The 18,033-nt window shown below is 53.5% G+C and overlaps 2 protein-coding genes and 1 long non-coding RNA gene across 16 annotated transcripts in view, besides 13 other annotated features; 1 reads left to right on the top strand and 2 right to left on the bottom strand.

Annotated features, from left to right (window-relative positions):
- Positions 1 to 4,249, bottom strand: part of NIBAN3 (niban apoptosis regulator 3) — a 32,237-nt gene extending 27,988 nt beyond the window's left edge. For 11 of the 14 annotated variants that reach the window (XM_011527786.3, XM_017026453.2, NM_001321826.2 and 8 more), the window contains exon 1: positions 155 to 283. In XM_011527786.3, the coding sequence (XP_011526088.1) occupies positions 155 to 209 (55 nt within the window). In that variant the 5' untranslated portion in view covers positions 210 to 283. 14 annotated transcript variants of the gene reach the window in all.
- Positions 322 to 431: a silencer, noted in NCBI's record as "silent region_10351". NCBI's record gives its function as "represses an Ori minimal core promoter by ATAC-STARR-seq in GM12878 lymphoblastoid cells {active_cell/tissue: GM12878}" and the evidence as "EXISTENCE:reporter gene assay evidence [ECO:0000049][PMID:35858748]".
- Positions 4,498 to 4,557: an enhancer, noted in NCBI's record as "active region_14278". NCBI's record gives its function as "activates an Ori minimal core promoter by ATAC-STARR-seq in GM12878 lymphoblastoid cells {active_cell/tissue: GM12878}" and the evidence as "EXISTENCE:reporter gene assay evidence [ECO:0000049][PMID:35858748]".
- PGLS (6-phosphogluconolactonase) lies at positions 6,262 to 15,901 on the bottom strand. Its single transcript, NM_012088.3, has 5 exons — positions 15,590 to 15,901; positions 11,270 to 11,377; positions 10,161 to 10,262; positions 9,700 to 9,840; positions 6,262 to 6,606 (listed from the first exon to the last, which is right to left on the bottom strand). The coding sequence occupies exons 1-5, from the start codon at positions 15,875 to 15,877 to the stop codon at positions 6,469 to 6,471; spliced, it is 777 nt and encodes a 258-aa protein (NP_036220.1). The 5' UTR covers positions 15,878 to 15,901; the 3' UTR covers positions 6,262 to 6,468.
- Positions 14,428 to 15,083: an enhancer, noted in NCBI's record as "H3K4me1 hESC enhancer chr19:17623276-17623931 (GRCh37/hg19 assembly coordinates)". NCBI's record gives its function as "activates a minimal SCP1, AML or CMV promoter by ChIP-STARR-seq in primed H9 embryonic stem cells {active_cell/tissue: H9 hESC(primed)}" and the evidence as "EXISTENCE:reporter gene assay evidence [ECO:0000049][PMID:30033119]".
- Positions 14,428 to 15,173: a biological region, named in NCBI's record as "H3K4me1 hESC enhancer GRCh37_chr19:17623276-17623931".
- Positions 14,914 to 15,173: an enhancer, noted in NCBI's record as "active region_14277". NCBI's record gives its function as "activates an Ori minimal core promoter by ATAC-STARR-seq in GM12878 lymphoblastoid cells {active_cell/tissue: GM12878}" and the evidence as "EXISTENCE:reporter gene assay evidence [ECO:0000049][PMID:35858748]".
- Positions 15,136 to 15,430: a silencer, noted in NCBI's record as "tiled region #7913; K562 Repressive DNase unmatched - State 1:Tss". NCBI's record gives its function as "represses a minimal TATA promoter and a strong SV40 promoter by Sharpr-MPRA in K562 cells {active_cell/tissue: K562}" and the evidence as "EXISTENCE:reporter gene assay evidence [ECO:0000049][PMID:27701403]".
- Positions 15,136 to 15,430: an enhancer, noted in NCBI's record as "tiled region #7913; HepG2 Activating DNase unmatched - State 1:Tss". NCBI's record gives its function as "activates a minimal TATA promoter and a strong SV40 promoter by Sharpr-MPRA in HepG2 cells {active_cell/tissue: HepG2}" and the evidence as "EXISTENCE:reporter gene assay evidence [ECO:0000049][PMID:27701403]".
- PGLS-DT (PGLS divergent transcript) overlaps positions 15,661 to 18,033 on the top strand; it is a 22,900-nt gene continuing 20,527 nt past the window's right edge. Inside the window, exon 1 of the long non-coding RNA NR_147835.1 lies at positions 15,661 to 16,207. This is a non-coding gene — a long non-coding RNA (PGLS divergent transcript). The remainder of the gene's footprint in view (positions 16,208 to 18,033) is intronic.
- Positions 15,674 to 15,723: a silencer, noted in NCBI's record as "silent region_10350". NCBI's record gives its function as "represses an Ori minimal core promoter by ATAC-STARR-seq in GM12878 lymphoblastoid cells {active_cell/tissue: GM12878}" and the evidence as "EXISTENCE:reporter gene assay evidence [ECO:0000049][PMID:35858748]".
- Positions 15,734 to 15,863: a silencer, noted in NCBI's record as "silent region_10349". NCBI's record gives its function as "represses an Ori minimal core promoter by ATAC-STARR-seq in GM12878 lymphoblastoid cells {active_cell/tissue: GM12878}" and the evidence as "EXISTENCE:reporter gene assay evidence [ECO:0000049][PMID:35858748]".
- Positions 15,734 to 16,397: a biological region, named in NCBI's record as "NANOG-H3K27ac-H3K4me1 hESC enhancer GRCh37_chr19:17621962-17622618".
- Positions 15,741 to 16,397: an enhancer, noted in NCBI's record as "NANOG-H3K27ac-H3K4me1 hESC enhancer chr19:17621962-17622618 (GRCh37/hg19 assembly coordinates)". NCBI's record gives its function as "activates a minimal SCP1, AML or CMV promoter by ChIP-STARR-seq in naive H9 embryonic stem cells {active_cell/tissue: H9 hESC(naive)}" and the evidence as "EXISTENCE:reporter gene assay evidence [ECO:0000049][PMID:30033119]".
- Positions 15,924 to 16,173: an enhancer, noted in NCBI's record as "active region_14276". NCBI's record gives its function as "activates an Ori minimal core promoter by ATAC-STARR-seq in GM12878 lymphoblastoid cells {active_cell/tissue: GM12878}" and the evidence as "EXISTENCE:reporter gene assay evidence [ECO:0000049][PMID:35858748]".
- Positions 16,398 to 17,055: an enhancer, noted in NCBI's record as "NANOG-H3K27ac-H3K4me1 hESC enhancer chr19:17621304-17621961 (GRCh37/hg19 assembly coordinates)". NCBI's record gives its function as "activates a minimal SCP1, AML or CMV promoter by ChIP-STARR-seq in naive H9 embryonic stem cells {active_cell/tissue: H9 hESC(naive)}" and the evidence as "EXISTENCE:reporter gene assay evidence [ECO:0000049][PMID:30033119]".

The following is an 18,033-nucleotide window of genomic DNA, read 5'->3' as shown; positions in this document are numbered from 1 at the left end:
TCACTGCGTGAAATTTACATTAAGAAGGCATCCTGTGTGTTTTGACAGCCCTAGGTCTGAACCGAACCCCATCTGCTGCATGGAGCATGTGGACCCAATGGCTGGAGCCCCCACCCACCTGGACTCCCACCCTGTCCCCTCCCCGGCTGCTCACCCCTTAGGTGCTGCCGCTGCTGCTTGTCCAGAGGGCTCGAAGGCCGCCCACCCATGCTGCTGTCGTCTCCCGGGGCTCCTCTTCCCTTCCCCACGACCACCGCCTGCGTTCCTCGGCTCAGGGGCACCTGGATGGCGGGTGAGAGGCTTGGTCACAGTGGGTTCAGAGGCCCCGCCCCTGCCCCACCCCACGCTGCACCTGCGTCCTCCCCACTCCCCTGGGGCCCGTGTTGCCCAGAGCCAGTGGTTTCTGTAGAGGCTGCGGGGACAGCCCCGGGGTTAGGTTGTGGGGTGTGGGAGAAAGAAAATCATAGCTCGTCTTGGAGGAGGGTGGCAGGGCAGACATCTGGCAGGACCGGCCAGCAGTCGTTGTGTATGGGGGCTGGAACAGGGGGATGGGCAGGGATGCGGCATCTAGTTCCTGGTGCCACACCCCCCCACCAGCACTGTGCCTACCCTGTGCCCGGTGAGGCTGGACCCCAGAGAGGATACAGCCCTGGCCCAGCTCCTAGGAGTCCCCAGGCTGGGGAGACAGAGCTGGACAGGCACTCCCAGACTGTCCCTGAGGTCAGTGCTGGGGCAGGGGGGCAGATGCCAAGGTCTTAGAGGATGGGTGGCCTGGCAGGGGTGAGCAGAGAGACTTGGGGGCACTGAAGCTTCATCCTTGATTCCTTCTTCAGGCCCCCAACACTGTCCCTCCCACCAGTCCATCACCTGGACTCCATTTCTTTTTCCTTTTTTTTTTTTTAGAGACAGGGTCTTGCTCTGTTGCTCAGGCTGGAGTGCAGTGGCACGATCATGGCTCACTGCAGCCTGGAACTCCTGTGCTCAAGTGACCCTCTCACTTCAGCCTCCAGAGTAGCTGGGCCCACAGGCACACGCCACCACCATGCCTGGCTAATTTTTGTATTTTTTGTAGACACGGGGGGTCTTCCTATGTTGCCCAGGCTGGTCTCAAACTTCTGGACTCAAGTGATCCGCCCACCTCGGCCTCCCAAAATGTTAGGATTACAGGCATGAGCCACCACACCTGGCATATTTCACGTTTTAAGTGTCTCTTAAAGGTGTCCTTTTTTTTTTCTTTGGGACAGACTCTCGCACTGTCGCCCAGACTGGAGTGCAATGGCACTATCTTGGCTCACTGCAACCTCCACCTCCCGGGTTCAAGTGATTCTCCAGCCTCAGCCTCCCGAGTAGCTGGGATTACAGGCGCCCGCCACCACACCTGGCTAATTTTTTGTATTTTCAGTAGAGACGGGGTTTCATTATGTTGGCCAGGCTTGTCTCAAACTCCTGACCTCGTGATCCACCCTCCTTGACCTCCTAAAGTGTTCTTTTTTTTTTAAACGGTGTCTCACTCTGTTGCCCAGGCTGGAGTGCAGTGGCATGATCTTGGCTCACTGCCACCTTCGCCTCCTGGGTTCAAGCGATTTCTGGCTAATTTTGTTTTGTTTTGTTTAGTAGAGATGGGGTTTCCCTGTGTTGGCCAGGCTGGCCTCAAACTCCTGACCTCAGGTGATCCTCTCGCCTCAGCCTCCCAAAGTGCTGGGATTACAGGTGTGAGCCACGTCACCCAGCGAAGGTGTCCCTTTTCTTGGGCCCAAACCCCATCTTTAGCACCCCAAAACTCTCCGTGCTGACCTCCCGAAGCTCTCCCATTGCCCTTTGGGAAAGCACCACTGAGGGCCCAGCCTCATCGCTCCAAGAGCCCTCTGGCTCCACTCAGCCCCCTGCAGCTCCCGAAGCCCCCATGTCCCTCTGACCCCCGCGGTCTTGTCCAGTGCCTAGAGAACTCTTGCTCCCGCCTCCTGCACGTGGTCGCCCAAGCTTCACCCCTCAGGTGAAAAGACCAGATACCAGCCCCTTGGAGAGCCGTCCCTGTGCCCCTGGACTGGTTGGGCGCGACCTTTATGTCCCAGCATTTGACCTGGTTTGGTTAGTTGGGCGTCTCCACCCCTTCACCTGTTTTGTGCCTGGCACAGAGCAGCCCTCGATGTTTGCTGAATGAATGCATGAATAAACGTGTGCATGAATGAATGAATGAATGAATGAATGAATGAAGGGAGGGACGGAGGGAGGGAGGGCATGCAGTCTACACTCCAAGCGGAAATGTGATCAAATGGAGCCATCACAGGTTTTCTGATGAGGGGAGTGTCAAGCACTGAGCTCTGGATCCAGCGTTGGCTGGGGAGTGGGGTGGGTCCCTGAAGACCTCTCAAGGACACTGAACACTTCCCAGCAGTCAGGGGCTCCAGGCTGGAGGAAGGAAAGTCCAGAGTGTGGCCCCTCAGATGGCAAGATCCCCAGGGAGCCCCTGAGGCAGGCGGGCAGGTCATCGATGAATAGAGAACACGTGTCCCTCAATGTCCATTGCTCCTATTGGCCTCAGTAGTAGAATCCCTGATCATAACGGAGCCCATGGCTGTCCAATGGAGACTCATCTTCCAGACTTCCTTGCTGCTATGTGGGGCTGTGCAACCCAGGCTGGCCATAAAGGAGTGAGCAGAAGTGTCTTCGGTGAATCCTGGGAAGCTTCTTCATGCTAGAGCTGGAACGTGGACACAATGGCTGGAGCACAAGCAGCCACCTTGGGCCATGAGGCAGAATCCAGCTGATGACAGGGCAAAGCAATGATGTAGAAGGAGCTGGGGTTCCTGAAGAATGTGTGACATTGCTCTACCAGCCCTGAATGGTGTCTCTCCAGAGAAAGAGCTAAACCTCTGTTTTGCTTAAGCCTCTAGTAATATCTGAATGTAATCTTCACTAACAGCCCAGGATTCATTTCTTCTTTTAAAAAAATTTATGTTTTTTCAGCTGGCTGTTGTGGCTCAAGCCTGTAATCCCAGCACTTTGGGAGGCCGAGGCAGGCGGGTCACCTGAGGTCAGGAGTTCGAGACCAGCCTGGCCAACATGGTGAAACCCTGTCTCTACTAAAAATACAAAAAATAGCGGGCGTTGTGGTGGGCGCCTGTAATCCTAGCTACTCAGGAGGCTGAGTCAGGAGAATCACTTGAACCCAGGAGGCGGAGGTTGCAGTGAGCTGAAATCGGACCACTGCACTCCAGCCTGAGCAACAGGGCGAGACTCTGTCTCAAAAAAAAGAAAAAAGAAAACCATCAGATGATGAGACGGGCAAGGAAGAAAAATGCAGCAGGAGGGGATAGAGGATGGGCATGGAGGGGTCACGGAGATGAAAGGAAGCGAGGAGTTGGGCGCAGTGGTTCATGCCTGTAATCCCAGCACTTTGGGAGGTTGAGGCAAGTGGATCGCTTGAGGTCAGGAGTTCGAGACCAGCCTGGCCAGCGTGGTGAAACTCAATGTTTCTACTAAAAATACCAAAATTAGCTGGGAGTGGTGGTGGGTGCCTGTAGAACCAACTACTTGGGAGGCTGAGGCAGGAGAATTGTGTGAACCCGTGAGGTAGAGGTTGCAGTGAGCTGAGATCACACCACTGCACTCCAGCCTGGACGACAGAGCAAGACCGTGTCCCCCCAAAAAAGAAAGCGAGGGCCCAAGCCATGCAAAAAGCTGCAGGAAAGGAGATACCGGGCAGCGGGCTCAGCACAGGCAAAGGCCCTGGGGTGGGAATGTGCTCAGCGGGCTCCAGGAACAGCAGGAAGTGGGTGCGCTGCAGGGAGACTGAGTGAGGGGCTGATGTTGCTGGGGAGAGGGAGAGGTGAAAGGGGCCACGTGGAGCCTTGTGGGAAGGGTGAATTTCACTCCGAAGGCAAAAGGAGCAGGAAGAGTTGTCACTCTCGCAAAGAGTAGGAGATGGTGACAGCCCCAGGCACAACCATCCATGTGGGGTCCCTGTGCTGGCAGCTCAATTTCCCTTCACTTCGCAGCCCCGTGCCTGCCGCTCTGGGGGCCACGGCCTCCTGCCCTCAACCAGCCCCACAGCTGAGCTTCCGCTCAGCTCTCTTTGCTGTTTACCAACCTCCTTCCGGTCAGGCCCCATCCCACTTCCTCACTCTCACATCTGAGTGGCCTGCCGGGACAAGACGTTGAAGCAAACTTCACTTTCTGTGGTTTCGGCTCCACTCTCACCCTGCACAGCCGCCTCTGCGCAGGTTTCAATTCCCATCTCCTGCTCAGCCGGGTGCCTCCTCTGGATCCCCCCACAGAAACTTGCACGTGGCTGGGCAGCCCCCATGCACCCACCAGCCTCCCACACTGTCGTCCCTGGGGCCTAGAGAAAGCTGAAGGGTGGGCCATGAGCAGATGCATTCTGGGAAAATGTGCAGGAGCCCAGCACATGGAGACTAGACTCTCTGGTGCTTTCAAGGCTCTGAGCAGGTCCGCAGCATGGCTGAATGCAGTGCTTCGCCCTGTCAGTGCAGCTGGAGCTCAGCAGAGGGTTGACTTATGTCCCCCAAAGGACATGTCTACGTCCTGACCCAGGAAACTCAGCATGTGACCTTATTCGGAATACTTATTCCAAATAAGCATTTATTTGGAACTTATTTGGAATACTCATTTGGTATCTTGAGATGAAACCACCCTGGGTGCAAGGCGATCCTAAATCCAATGACAGGTGTCCTTATAAGAAAAGAATGCTGGGCACAGTGGCTCATGCCTGTAATCCCAACACTTTGGGAGGCTGAGGCTGGAGGATCGCTTGATCTCAGGGGTTGGAGACCAACCTGGGCAACATACCAAGACCCCGTCTCCGCAAAAAATTTGTACAAGTAGGCAGGCGTGGTGGTGCATATCTGTAGCACCAGCTACTTGGGAGGCTGAGGTGAGAGGATCGCTTTAGCCCAGGAGATGGAGGCTGCAGTGAGCTGTGATTGCACCACTGCACTCCAGTCTGGGTGACAGAGCGAGACCCTGTATCAAAAAAATAAATAGGAGGCGAGAACACACAAGAGAAAGAAGTCCAAGTGAAGACAAGGAGAGACTGGAGTGATATGGCCACAAGCTAAGGAATGCCAAGGACAGGAGAGGCCTGGGATGGGTTCTGCCTCAGAGCCTCCAGAGGGAACCAGCCCTGCCGCCACCTTGACCTTGGACTTCTGATCTCTATAGCTAAGACAGAATACATTTGTTTTTTTGTTTTGTTTTGTTTCATTTTAAGACGGAGTTTCGCTCTTGTTGCCCAGGCTGGAGTGCAGTGGCGCAGTCTTGGCTCACTGCAACCTCCGCCTCCTGGGTTCAAGCAATTCTCCTGCCTCAGCCTCCCAAGTAGCTGGGATTACAGGCGCATGCCACCACACCCAGCTAATTTTTGTATTTTCAGTAGAGATAGGGTTTTGCCATATTGATCAGGCTGGTTTCAAACTCCTGACCTCGGGTGACCCGCCCACCTCAGCCTTCCAAAGTGCTGAGATTACAGGCGTAAGCCACCGTGCCCAGCTTTTTTTTTTCTTGAGACCGAGTCTCGCTCTGTCACACAGGGTGGAGTGCAGTGGCGCGATCTCAGCTCACTGCAAGCTCCGCCTCCCTGGTTCAAGCAATTGTTGTGCCTCAGCCTCCCAAGTAGCTGGGATTACAGGTGCACACCACTACGCCCGGCTAATTTTTGTATTTTTTTTTTTTTTCGAGATGGAGTCTCGCTGTATCTCCCAGGTTGGAGTGCAGTGGTGCGATCTCAGCTCACTGCAAGCTTCGCCTCCTGGGTTTTATGCCATTCTCCTGCCTCAGCCTCCCAAGTAGCTGGGACTACAGGCGTGCACCACCTATGCCCAGCTAATTTTTTTTTGTATTTTTAGTAGAGACGGGGTTTCACTGTGTTAGCCAGGATGGTCTCGAACTCCCGACCTCGTGATCCACCAGCCTCGGCCTCCCAAAGTGCTGGGATTACAGGTGTGAGCCACCGCGCCCAGCTAATTTTTGTATTTTTAGTAGAGAAGAGATTTCACTATGTTGGCCAGGCTAGTCTCGAACTCCTGACCTCAAGTGATTTGCCCACCTCATCCTCCCGAAGTGCTGGGATGACAGGCGTGAGCCACTGTGCCCAGCCTGTTGTCTTAGGAAATTCATCCATGGTGGCTATGCCCCAGGGAAGCAGGCCCCGCCTTCCTCCCCACAGATGAGGGCTATGGATCAGAACCCAGGCCAGGGCGCCCCCAGGCCTGCTGCCATCAAACACCGCGAGACAGTGCAGACTTCCAGCAACGCTCCTTTTAATATCCGGATGTCCAGAGCCACAGCCTGTGTGTTGAGCCCCGGGTAGGGCTGCTGGCCGGAGGCTGTTGGCTTCCAGCAGCAGCACGACGTGGCTTTTTGAAAGGAGAGCCCGGAGAGTGGCGGCCAGCAGGGGCCCAGCCCCATGGGCCGCGTGCCTGGTCCCAGCTGCGGCGTCCCTCTGGCCAGCTACAAAGTGGAATGCTTCTCGAAGGGCACGGTCAGGAGGCGGGCGGCCGCCTCGTCCAAGAACCAGCACAGTTTCCCGGTGTGGGGCTGGACCAGGGCGGCGGGCAGCGGGTTTTCCTCCTGGTCCTCCAAAATGCGCTGAAGAAGAGGGCAGAAGAGTAAGGCCCTGCCTGCGGCCCAGGCACCGCCCCTCGGCACTCTCCTGGCTCCCCAACCAAGGATAAATAAGACTCTTGTATCCTCAAAATGTGACAATGCCCAGCTCAGCTGTCCTAGTGCCAAACAGCAGGGACAAGAGTCCCTTCCTTTCTATCCACTGTAACTATTTTTATTTATTTATTTATTTATTTTGAGATGGAGTCTCACTCTGTCTCCCAGGCTGGAGTGCAGTGGTACGATCTTGGCTCACGGCAACCTCCGCCTCCCGGTTTCAAGCGATTCTTCTGCCTCAGCCTCCTGAGTAGCTGGGATTACAGGCAAGTGCCACCACGCTCGGCTAAGTTTTTTTTTTTTTTTTTTTTTTTTTTGAGATGAACTCTCGATCTTATCCCCCAGGCTGGAGTGTGATGGCGTGATGGTGCGATCTTGGCTCACTGCAACTTCCGCCTCCCGGTTTCAAGCAATTCTCCTGCCTCGGCCCCCCAAGTAGCTGGGATTACAGGCGCCTCCCACCACACCTGGCTAATTTTTTTGTTTTTGGTAGAGACGGTTTCATCATGTTGGTCAGGCTGGTCTAGAACTCCTGAACTCAGGTGATCCACCCGCCTAGGTCTCCCAAAGTGCTGGGATTACAGGCGTTAGCCACCGCGCCTGGCCTAATTTTTTATATTTTTAGTAGAGACGGGGTTTCACCATATTAGCCAGGCTGGTCTTGAACTCCCACGTTGAGCCACCATGCCCCGCCCACTGTAACTATTTGCATTTTTTTTGAGACAAGGTCTTGCGCTGTCATCCAGGCTGGAGTACAGTGACGGCATCAAGGCTCACTGCAGCCTCAATCTCTGAGGCTCAAGTGATCCTCTTGCCTCAGTCTGCCAAGTATCTGGGACCACAGGCACATGGCACTGTGCCCAGCTAATTTTTTATTTTTTGTAGAGACAGGGTCTTGCTATGTTGCCAAGACTAGTCTCAAACTCCTAGACTCAAGCAATCCTCCTGCCTCAGCCTCCCAAAGTGCAGGCATGAGCCACTGTGCCTGGTCTGTAACTGTTTAATACTGCGGTTGGCACCCTTTTTCAGCAAAAGACCAGAGTCAATAGATTAAGCTCTGCAGACCATCCAGTCTCTATTGCAACCACTCAGCTCTGCAGTTCTGGCCCCAGAACAGCTGCAGACAATATATACATAAGCGGGTGTTGCTATGTTCCAATAAAACTTTTCTGGGCCGGGTGCGGTGGTTCATGCCTGTAATCCCAGCACTTTGGGAGGCCGAGGGGGGCGGATCACTTGAGGTTGGGAGTTTGAGACCAGCCTGGCCAATGTTGTGAAACCCTGTCTCTACTAAAAATACAAAAATTAGCTGGGCGTGGTGGCAGGTGCCTGTAATCCCAGCTACTTGGGAGGCTGAGGCAGGAGAAGCACTTGAACCCGGGAGGTGGAGGTTGCAGTGAGCTGAGATGGCGCCACTGCACTCCAGCTTGGATGACAGGGTGAGAAGCTGTCTCAAAAAAACAAACAAACAAAACAATTTCTGGACACTGTAATCTGAACTTCATAGAATCTTCACAAGGTCAAGGAGTATTATTCATTTGATTTTTTTTTTTTTTTGAGACTGAGTTTCGTTCTTGTCGCCCAGGCTGGAGTGCAATGGCATGATCTCGGCCCACAGCAACCTCCGCCTCCCGGGTTCAAGTGATTCTCCTGCCTCAGGCTCCTGAGTAGCTGGGACTACAGGCGCACGCCACCACGCCTGGCTAATTTTTGTATTTTTAGTAGAGACAGGGTTTCGCCATGTTGGCCAGGCTGGTCTTGAACTCCTGACCTCAGGTGATCCGCCTGCCTCAGCCTCCCAAAGTGCTGGGATTACAGGCATAAGCCACCGCGCCCCGCCTGATTTATTTTTTTTGGAGATGAGTTCTCGTGATGTTCCCCAGTGCAGTGGTAATTCACAGTTGCAATTACATTTCACTATAGCTTCGAACTCCTGAGCTCGAGTAATCCTCCTGCCTTAGCCTCCTGAGTAGATGGGATGATAAGCATGGCCTGGCTCTTCATTTGACTTTTTTCCAACCACTTAGAAAAGTAAAAACCAGGCTAGGCACGGTGACTCATATCTGTAATCCCAGCACTTTGGGAGGCCAAGGCAGGTGGATCACATGAGGTCAGCAGTTTGAGACCAGCCTGGCCAACATGGTGAAACCCCCTCTCTACTAAAAATACAAAAATTAGCCAGGCCTGGTGGCAGGCGCCTATAATCCCAGCTAGTCAAGAGGCTGAGGCAGGAGAACCGCTTGAACCTGGGAGGTAGAGATTGTAGCGAGCTGAGGTCACATCAGTGCACTCCAGCCTTGGCGACAGAGGGAGACTCTGTCTCAACAACAATAACACAAAAAACAAAAAAAAAATAAAAATATATTTCCAGTTTCTTCTGTAGTTGTTGGTCTTTTCAATGAAGGCAACTAAAACCTTTTTAATTATTTAGTTTATTTTTAATGCTGTAATGAATTTGTATTTTCCTAAAATACTTTACATAACAGTACCTTTTTTTATTCATAATACCACGTGATTTTTTTTTCTCTTGATTAGCCTTGTCAGGAGCTTTTCTATCTTTTAGATCTACTTACCATTAAAGTTTAAAATATATTAACCAACTCATTAATTTCTGACTTTAATTTCACTTAGTCCTGCCACTGACTTTTGTAGATTTATATTATTGTCCTTTTTCTAATTCTACAGGAAAGCACTTGATTTATTTCAATAGTTTGCTACTTAATAATTTTTTTTAAATGCATTTGAATGCTATTAATTTACCTCTGAATGCAGCTTTGGCCTCATCTCATCAATTTCATTTCATAGCGGTTAATACCTAACTAGCCTTTAATTGCAATTTTCTGGGGTTTTTTTTTTTTTTTTCCTTTTTTTCTAATTGCAATTTCAAGTTACCTTTCAACCCAAGAATGACTGAGTTTTCTTCAGATCTGATGCTTCAGCACAATAATGTCTGGGGCCATTTTCTGTCCCTGGGGCCCACATGCCCATGAACTTCCCAGGACTAGAACCCTCAGCTGTTACCTTCAGAACAGCTGCCTTGCCTTCTCCAGTTGCCACAAAGATGACAGTTCGTGCTGCATTCAGGACAGGTAGTGTGAGGGTCACACGCTGTGGCGGTGGCTTCGGGGAGTCACTGATGGGAGCCACAATCTTCTCCCGCTCCTTGGGGAGGAAGCCCAGGGATGGAGGCAGAAGGACAATGTCACTTCAGCTTCTTGGACACTTACACACACCAGGCCTGGTCCAGCCACTGTTCCATCCCATCCTACTAACAATCCCATGGTGGGTAGTTTAAGGTCCCTGTTTTAAGGGGCTCAACTGAGACCTGAAAGGATTGAGCCCAGCAGGCAGGTATGTTGGTGGAGGCTGACTTGAACCCTGGCTCTAGACACCCCACCCGGCAGGTGGCTCTCCCTCTGGAAGTCCCAGATGTTAGGGACTGGGCTCAGGACTAGGGTGGAACCCCGCATTGGTGTGCTCACCTGTAGGAGGGGGTGGTCTGGGAAGAGTGAGCAGGTGTGACCATCGGGGCCCACCCCCAGGATCAGCAGGTCGAAAACCGGGATGGAGTCCCCTTGGAATGCCTGGGCGTGGGGAGAAGACAGCCTTGAGAGGTTGTAGGTGGCAGGGGCAGGGGAGACTCAGAGGACACAGAAACAGTTGTCAGATAAAAAAATACAAGTAGCTGTGGCTGGGCATGGTGGCTCACACCTGAAATCCCAGCACTTTGGGAGGCCGAGGTAGGTGGATCACGAGGTCAGGAGTTCAAGACCAGCCTGGCCAACATGATGAAACCCTGTCTCTACTAAAAATACAAAAATTAGCCAGGCGTGGTGGCAGGCACCTGTAGTCCTAGCTACTTGGGAGGCTGAGGTAGGATAATCACTTGAGCCCGGGAGGCAGAGGTTGCAGTGAGCTGAGATTGCATCACTGCACTCCAGCCTAGGTGACAGAGTGACAGAGTAAGACTCCATCTCAAAAAAAAAAAAGGCCCATGGTGGCTCACGCCTATAATCCCAGCACTTTGGAGGCCAAGGTGGGCGGATCACGAGGTCAGGAGATCGAGACCATCCTGGCTAACATGGTGAAACCCCGTCTCTACTAAAAAAATACAAAAAAATTAACCAGGCGTGGTGGCGGGCACCCGTAGTCCCAGCTACTCAGGAGGCTGAGGCAGGAGAATGGTGTGAACCCGGGAGGCGGAGCTTGCAGTGAGCCATGATCACGCCACTGCACTCCAGCCTGGGCGACAGAGTGAGACTCCGTCTCAAAGAAAAAAAAAAAAAAAGAAATACAAGTAGCTGTAACGCAGGAAACAGTGCTCAATGTAGCCTGTGATCAAAGCCATAGCCATACCCATCATATTTCCCCAAGATGTGAGGACCCAGGCCTGTTACCTGGGCAACAGAGGCCGAGTGGCCTTCAGGCTCCCCAGGGCAGGGCTGTGGCCTCGAAGAGGGGATTCCTCAAAGGGATCTGCCAGTGATCCCTGGGGCAGTTCCTGCTGGTGACAATCAGAAGGCCGCTCTGTTGCCCGGGGTGTGGCCGCTTCGTGGATGTGACTCCCTTGCGGCCGCTCCTCGGGGCTCACCTGTCTCAGCTTCTTGGCGTAGTCCTCAGCCGCCTCCTCCACAGGCAGCTCGGGGTTAATGGTGATCACCTGGCTTTCTGGGATCGGCAGTCTGGAGAGAAGATGCGTCTGCAGCCAACAGAGGGACAATGTCACCAACAGTAACGTGACCACCTGGATCCTCCAGGGAGTTTATGACAGTACCGTCATAACACTCATTTACAGATGGGGAGACTGAGGCATGGGGAGGCTGGTGCATTTGTGCAAGGTCCTTCGGTTGGTGAGTGACACTTTGGTTGGTGAGTCACCTCTGGAATGCTGGAAGCCAGGATCCTGAGCCCTGGGTGACGCCGCCTGTCAGGGCAGAGGAGGTTCAAGGGCAAGAGGGAGCCCTGCTGCTCTTGGGGGGCTGGACGGGAGGGTGGCCCTCCTGGGTGAATCGGGATCATGGTGGTTCCTGCGGGGGCCAGCATTCCAACAGGAGTCTTTCAATTCCGTTGTATTTGGGGGGTTTCCTGGCCATAGCCTGCACCTGTCTAGCCAGCCCATTGTCCTGTTTCAAAGCCTCCAGGGTCCCACGGCCCTTGGGATAAAACTCAGCCCCTCACCACCCTCCATGGAGAAGGGTAACCTTCTCCATCCCCACCCTCCCTCCTAAGGCTGCCTGGGAAACTCATATACATCCCTCAGGCCACCTCCTCCGAGCAGCCACCCCCGCCTGCACCTGCCCCACTACAGGGAGTGGGGGCCAGGCTTGCCCAGGCCCAGCACCTGTGGCTAGCGCACAGTAGATGCCCTGGCCTGTGAATGGTGGAGTCGTTGGCAGCAGATTTAACTCAAAAGCACTTGGATCAAGGAGAAAGCTGCAGCCCTATCCCACTGAGAGGCGCCCCAGGGGCCCTGGTCTGCTCTGAGATGGCGTCCATGTCTCGGTGCCTCGTGTTTGTGCAGAGTCTAGCTCAGTGAGCTGAGGCAATGCTAAGGTGAGCCACGAAGTAAACGCAGGGGCTGACTGCCCTGAATGCTGACCTGAGGAGTATGAGCTCCACACTGAGGGCATTGGGGAGCCAAGGAGGGTGTGTGAGCTGGGGAGGGACACAATCGTATCCATAGTTGGAAAGACCACTCTGCTTTGTCCAAGGTCCCTGTGTTAATCTATGCAGCCTGCTATCACAAAACACCATAAACTCGAGGCTTATAAACAACAGAAAATGGCCAGGCATGGTGGCTCACGGCTGTAATCCCAGCACTTTGGGAGGCTGAGGTGGGACAATCGGTTGAGCCCAGGAGTTTGAGACCAGCCTGGGCAGCATAGTGAAACTTCGTATTTACCAAAAATAAAAAATTAGCGGCCTGGCACGGTGGCTCATGCCTGTAATCCCAGCACTTTGGGAGGCCAAGGCAGGCGGATCACCTGAGGTCAGGAGTTCGAGACCAGCCTGACCAACATGGAGAAATCCCACCTCTACTAAAAATATAAAATTAGCTGGGCGTGGTGGTGAATGCCTGTAATCCCAGCTACTTGGGAGGCTGAGGCAGGAGAATCACTTGAACCCAGGAGGCGGAGGTTGTGGTGAGCTGAGATCGCGCCATTGCACTCCAGCCTGGGCAACAAGGGTGAAACTCCAACTCAAAAAAAAAAATTAGCTGGGCCTGGTGGTGCACACCTGTAGTCCCAGCTACTGAGGAGGCTGAGGCAGGGGGATTGATAGAGCCCGGGAGCTGAAGGCTGCAGTAAGCCACGATCATGCCTCTGCACTCCAGCCTGGGCAACACAACAAGATCCTATCTCAAAAAAAGAAAGAAAAGGAAAGGAAAAGAAAAGAAAGTATAGGAAGGGAGGAAGGAAGGAAGGGAAGGAAGGGAGGGAAGGAGGGAAGGAAGGAAGGAAATAGGGTCTTTGCAGATGTAATTAGTTAAGAACAAGTCATAGTGGATTAGTGTGGGCCCTAAATCCAATGACTGGCGTCCTTATATAAGATGAGAAGACACACAGAATCCAAGAAGGCCATGTGCAGACAGAGACAGGAATTGGAATGGTGTGACCCCAAGCCAAGGAACGCCCAGAGCCCCCAGAAGATGAGGAGAAAATGAAGGATCCTCCCAAAGAGCTTTCAGATGGGGCGTGACCCCACCAACACCTTGATTTCAGACTTCTGGCCTCCAGAACGGTGAGAGAATAAATTCCTGTGGCTTTAAGCCGCTCAGTTTGTGGTCATTCGTTATGTAGCCCTAGGGAACCGATATGATTCCCCTCACAGAGAACCGGCAGAAGGAGCAAGTCCTGGCTTCAGGTTTGCTCCCATCACACGGCTTTGGCCTTAGCTGAGCCCTCTTGCCACAGCTTGACCATGGCCAGCTCCTGCACATGCTCCAGCTCTCAGCTCAAATGGCACCTTCTCAGGACCTCCCACCCCATAGCCCTTGACGAATGCTCACTCCCTATTCCCTAGCACTCTGCAGCATTTCACAATTATTTATTTTGAGACAGAGTCTCAACTGTCGCCCAGGCTGGAGTGCAGTGGCATGATCTCAGCTCACTGCAACCTCTGCCTCCCACATTCAAGCGATTCTCGTGCTTCAGCCTCCCCTGTAGCCGGGATTACAGGCACACGCCACCACACCCAGCTAATTTTTGTATTTTTAGTAGAGATGGGGTCTTGCCATGTTGGCTAGGCTGGTCTCCAACACCTGACCTCAGGTGATCCACCATCCTTGGCCTCCCAAAGTGCTGAGATTACAGGTATGAGCCACCACGCCCGGCCAAAAACCTGCTTTTTTTTTTTTTTATCTTTAAGACAGTCTCACTCTGTCGCCCAGGGTGGAGTGTAATGGCATGATCTCGGTTCACTGATCATGCCTCACTCCTGCCTCAGCCTCCCGAGTAGCTGGGATTACAGGTGCGCACCACCACACCTGGCTAATTTTTGCATTTTTAGTAGAGACAGGTTTCACCATGTTGGTCAGGTTGGTCTCAAACTCCTGACCTCGTGATCCGCCCGCCTCAGCCTCCCAAAGTGCTGGGATTACAAGCGTGAGCCACCGCACCCAGCCAATTTTTGTATTTTTTTTTAGTAGAGACAGAGTTTTGCCATGTTGGCCAGGCTGGTCTCGAAATCCTGACCTCAGGTGATCTACTCACGTCGGCCTCCCAAAGTGCTGGGATTACACGCGTGAGCCACCGCACCCGGCCAAAACTTTTTAATGATGCTCTTGGAAAACACACACAGGAAGGCGGAAGTTAAATGTGTACCCAACTACGAAGTCAGATGAGGCAGGATCACACCCTGGCTGCCCCTCTGGTCACTAGATGCCTTGGGCAGGTAAGCTCACCTCTTCTGGCCTCAGTTTCTCCATCTGTGAAATGAGTGTAACATCTCATAGGCTGTGGTACGGACTCATGAATTGATGCATATAAAGCGTTCAGTAAGCCTTTTCTCTTAATAAAAAACCCACAAAACCATCATCAGCTCAAGATTCTATGCAAAGAGAAGACGGCACACCCAGCATGGGGTGTCCCTTGACGCTGCCAGACTCAAGTGACTTGAGGTTCCTGGCCTTTGAGCCCGCCCCTCCCACTCTTCCCTCGGCCAGGCCAAGGCTCCTCCAAGCCTCAGTTACCCTGTCTTTAAAAGAGCGCGCTCCTCTGATTCTATAGAATCCTGAGGCTCAAAGCCAAAGATGAACAGCCTGGAAGCAGAGCCATCAGAGCGGCAAAGCTGCCCAGGGATCCCCGAGAACTCGCTGGGGTTAGAGATCAGGACCCTGAGATTCAGGCTCTACACCTGATTCCTCGTGCCCCCGTCCGCTACGGGGCTGAGTTATGGGCATCGTTTGACATGGGCCACTCGGATTCCCTTCCAGGCCCTTGCCCGTGCCGTTCCCTCTGCCTGGCCACCGGATGAAGCAGGAAGACGGACTGCAAGTAGACCATTTCTAGCCCTGCCTAGATAAAGGCAGAGGGCGCAGTGAGGTCCTGCGGGACCCACTGTAGGCGGGGTTCAGGAGGCGGGCGAGCCCTGTCGGCTAGACCCCCAGCGGCCCCCGTAGTCGAGGTGCAGGCAGTGGGCGTGACCATCTCGGCATGACCCCCAGTGGCCCCCGTAGCCGAGGGCAACCGGTGGGCGCGGCCCTCTTGGCATGACCCCCAGCGACCCACGTAGCCGAGGTGCAGGCAGTGGGCACGGCCCTCTTGGCATGATACCCAGTGGCCCCCGTAGCCGAGGTGCAGACAGTGGGCGCGGCCCTTTCGGCATGGCCCCCGGCGGCCTCCGTAGCCGGGGTGTAGGCGGTGGCTGTGGCCCTCTCGGCGTGATCCCCGGCGGCCCCCGTAGCTCTCACCCGGTAGAGGCCGTACGTGCTCTCGGCGTGATCGAAGGGCACGAGGCGCTCGTCGCAGAAGCCCAGCGTCCAGCGCGCTAAGCTAGCTGGCCCGGCAGGGGCGACGGCGGCGGGTAGCTCGCGGGCTAGCATCGAGACGAGGCTCCCGCCCGACAGGCCGAGCGCGAAACGGGCGCGGGCCCCTGCCAGGCAGCATGCTGCGCGCTGGGCCACCAGCTGCGCTAGCGCCGCACCCAGCTCCTGGGAACTCGAGAACACCGAGATGAGGCCCGGGGCCGGCGCGGCCATGGCGAGGGCGGCGGCGGGGAGGAGGAAGCGCTCCCTACGGCCGTCGCTAGTACGCCTGCGCAAGGGCCGGCCCTGCCGCTTGGTTTCGAGTACTTTGGGTGATTGTCTTTGGCACATGCGCAGTGAGGCAAGTGAAGCACCGCGAAGGTCGGGCAGTCGGTCCGGCCCTACCCATTGAATCTTTGCCTGCTGTGCCTGAGTCGAAGTGAGTTCGGGAAGCCAGTGCCCGAATGCTCAACCTTGCTGTATCAGGGAGGGCCGGAGAGGGGAGCTCAAGAAGAGGACGTCCTATCGAGGTGGCAGGGATTTTCTGAAGGAGGGCGTATTTTGGTGAGTTTTAAAATTCCTGCACCGCCGGGCGCGGTGGCTGACGCCTGTAATCCCAACACTTTGGGAGGCCGAGGCGGGCGGATCACGAGGTCAGGAGATCGAGACCATCCTGGCTAACACGGTGAAACCCCGTCTCTACTGAAAACACAAAAAATTAACCGGGCGTAGTGGCGGGCGCCTGTAGTCCCAGCTACTCGGGAGGCTGAGGCAGGAGAATCGCTTGAACCGGGGTGGCGGAGGTTGCAGTGAGCCGAGATCGTGCCACTGCACCCCAGCTTGGGCGACAGAGCGAGGCTCCATCTCAAAAAAAAGTAGGGGATGAAAATATGCTTGTTGAATTTTTTTTTTTTTTTTTTTTACATTTTCCGGACGGACGGGCTCTTGCTATATGGTCTAGGCTGATCTTGAACCCCTGGGCTCAAGCGATCTTCCTGCCTCGGCCTCCCAAAGTGGTAGCATTCAGGCGAAAGCCACTGCGCCTGGCCATGCTTGTTGAATTTTTTAAGCTAACCCTCCTAGTGTGGTGGTGTGTCCCTCTGAGTGCCCAGAAAGGCCTCCAATCGAGTTCTTGCCTGGACAGAGGGCTGGAAGGGGAAGAAGGCCTGGTGGGCCTGGGGAGGCTGGGCCACTTCTGAGAGTGGGATATTTCAGTGATGTGTGTAAGCGCAGTTCAACTCACACAGGTAGTGGATTTTAAAATCAGTAGCAAATTAAGAAAACAATTCCATTTACCATAGCATCATAAAGTATAAAGTAGGCATAAATTTAATAAAAGAAGTACAAGACTGTACTTCTTGAGAGCTGTAGCTGGGCTTGGTGGCTCACAGCTGTAATCCCAGCACGTTGGGAAGCCAAGGCTGGACCCGGTGGCAGCTGCCTGTGGTCCCAGCTACTTGGGAGGCTGTGGTGGGAGGATCACTTGAGCCCAGGAGACTAAGGCTGCAGTGAGCTGTGTTCCTGCCATTCCACTCCAGCCTGGGCAATAGAGTGAGACCCTGTCTCGAAACAAGCAAAAGAACTAAAACTTTGGTGAAAAAAAAAATTAAAGATGATCTAAATAAATGGTAAGACATTCCACGTTCATGGATTGGAAAGTATAATATTGTTAAGATGGCAGTACTCCACAAATTGGTCTACGGATGCAATGTAATCCCTTTCAAATTTACAATGTTTTTGTTGAAATTGACAAATTGATCCTAAAATTAATAATAAATTGCAAATGGCCCCAAAATAGCCAAAACAATATTGAATAAAATACGAGGACTCATACTTTCTCATTTCAAACAATAAAAAGGTACAATAACCAAAACTGTGGTATTGGCATAAGGATAGACATATAAATAAATGATTGGAACTGATGCAGAAATAAACCTATGCATATATGGTCAACTCATCTTTGGCAACGGTGCCAGGACTATTCAAAAAGAAAGGAGGGCTGGGCGTGGTGGCTCACGCCTGTAATTCCAGCACTTTGAGAGGCCAAGGCAGGTGGATCACCTGAGGTCGGGAGTTTAAGATCAGCCTGACCAACATGGAGAAACCCTGTCTCTACTAAAAATACAAAGCCTTAGCTGGGCGTGGTGGCACATGCCTGTAATCTCAGCTACTCGGGAGTCGGAGGCAGGAGAATGGCTTGAACCCCGGAGGTGGAGGTTGTGGTGAGCTGAGATCACGCCATTGCACTCCAGCCTGGGCAACGAGCAAAACTCTGTCTCAAAAAAAAAAAAAAAAAAAAAGGAATAGGCCAGGCGTGGTGCTTCACGCCTGTAATCCCAACACTTTGGCAGGCCAAGGTAGGCAGATCACCTGAGGTGAGGAGTTCGAGA

The sequence above is a fragment of the Homo sapiens genome, chromosome 19 (assembly GCF_000001405.40).
Source record: "Homo sapiens chromosome 19, GRCh38.p14 Primary Assembly".
Lineage (NCBI taxonomy): Eukaryota > Metazoa > Chordata > Mammalia > Primates > Hominidae > Homo > Homo sapiens.
This window is presented reverse-complemented; position numbering and strand designations above follow the sequence as displayed.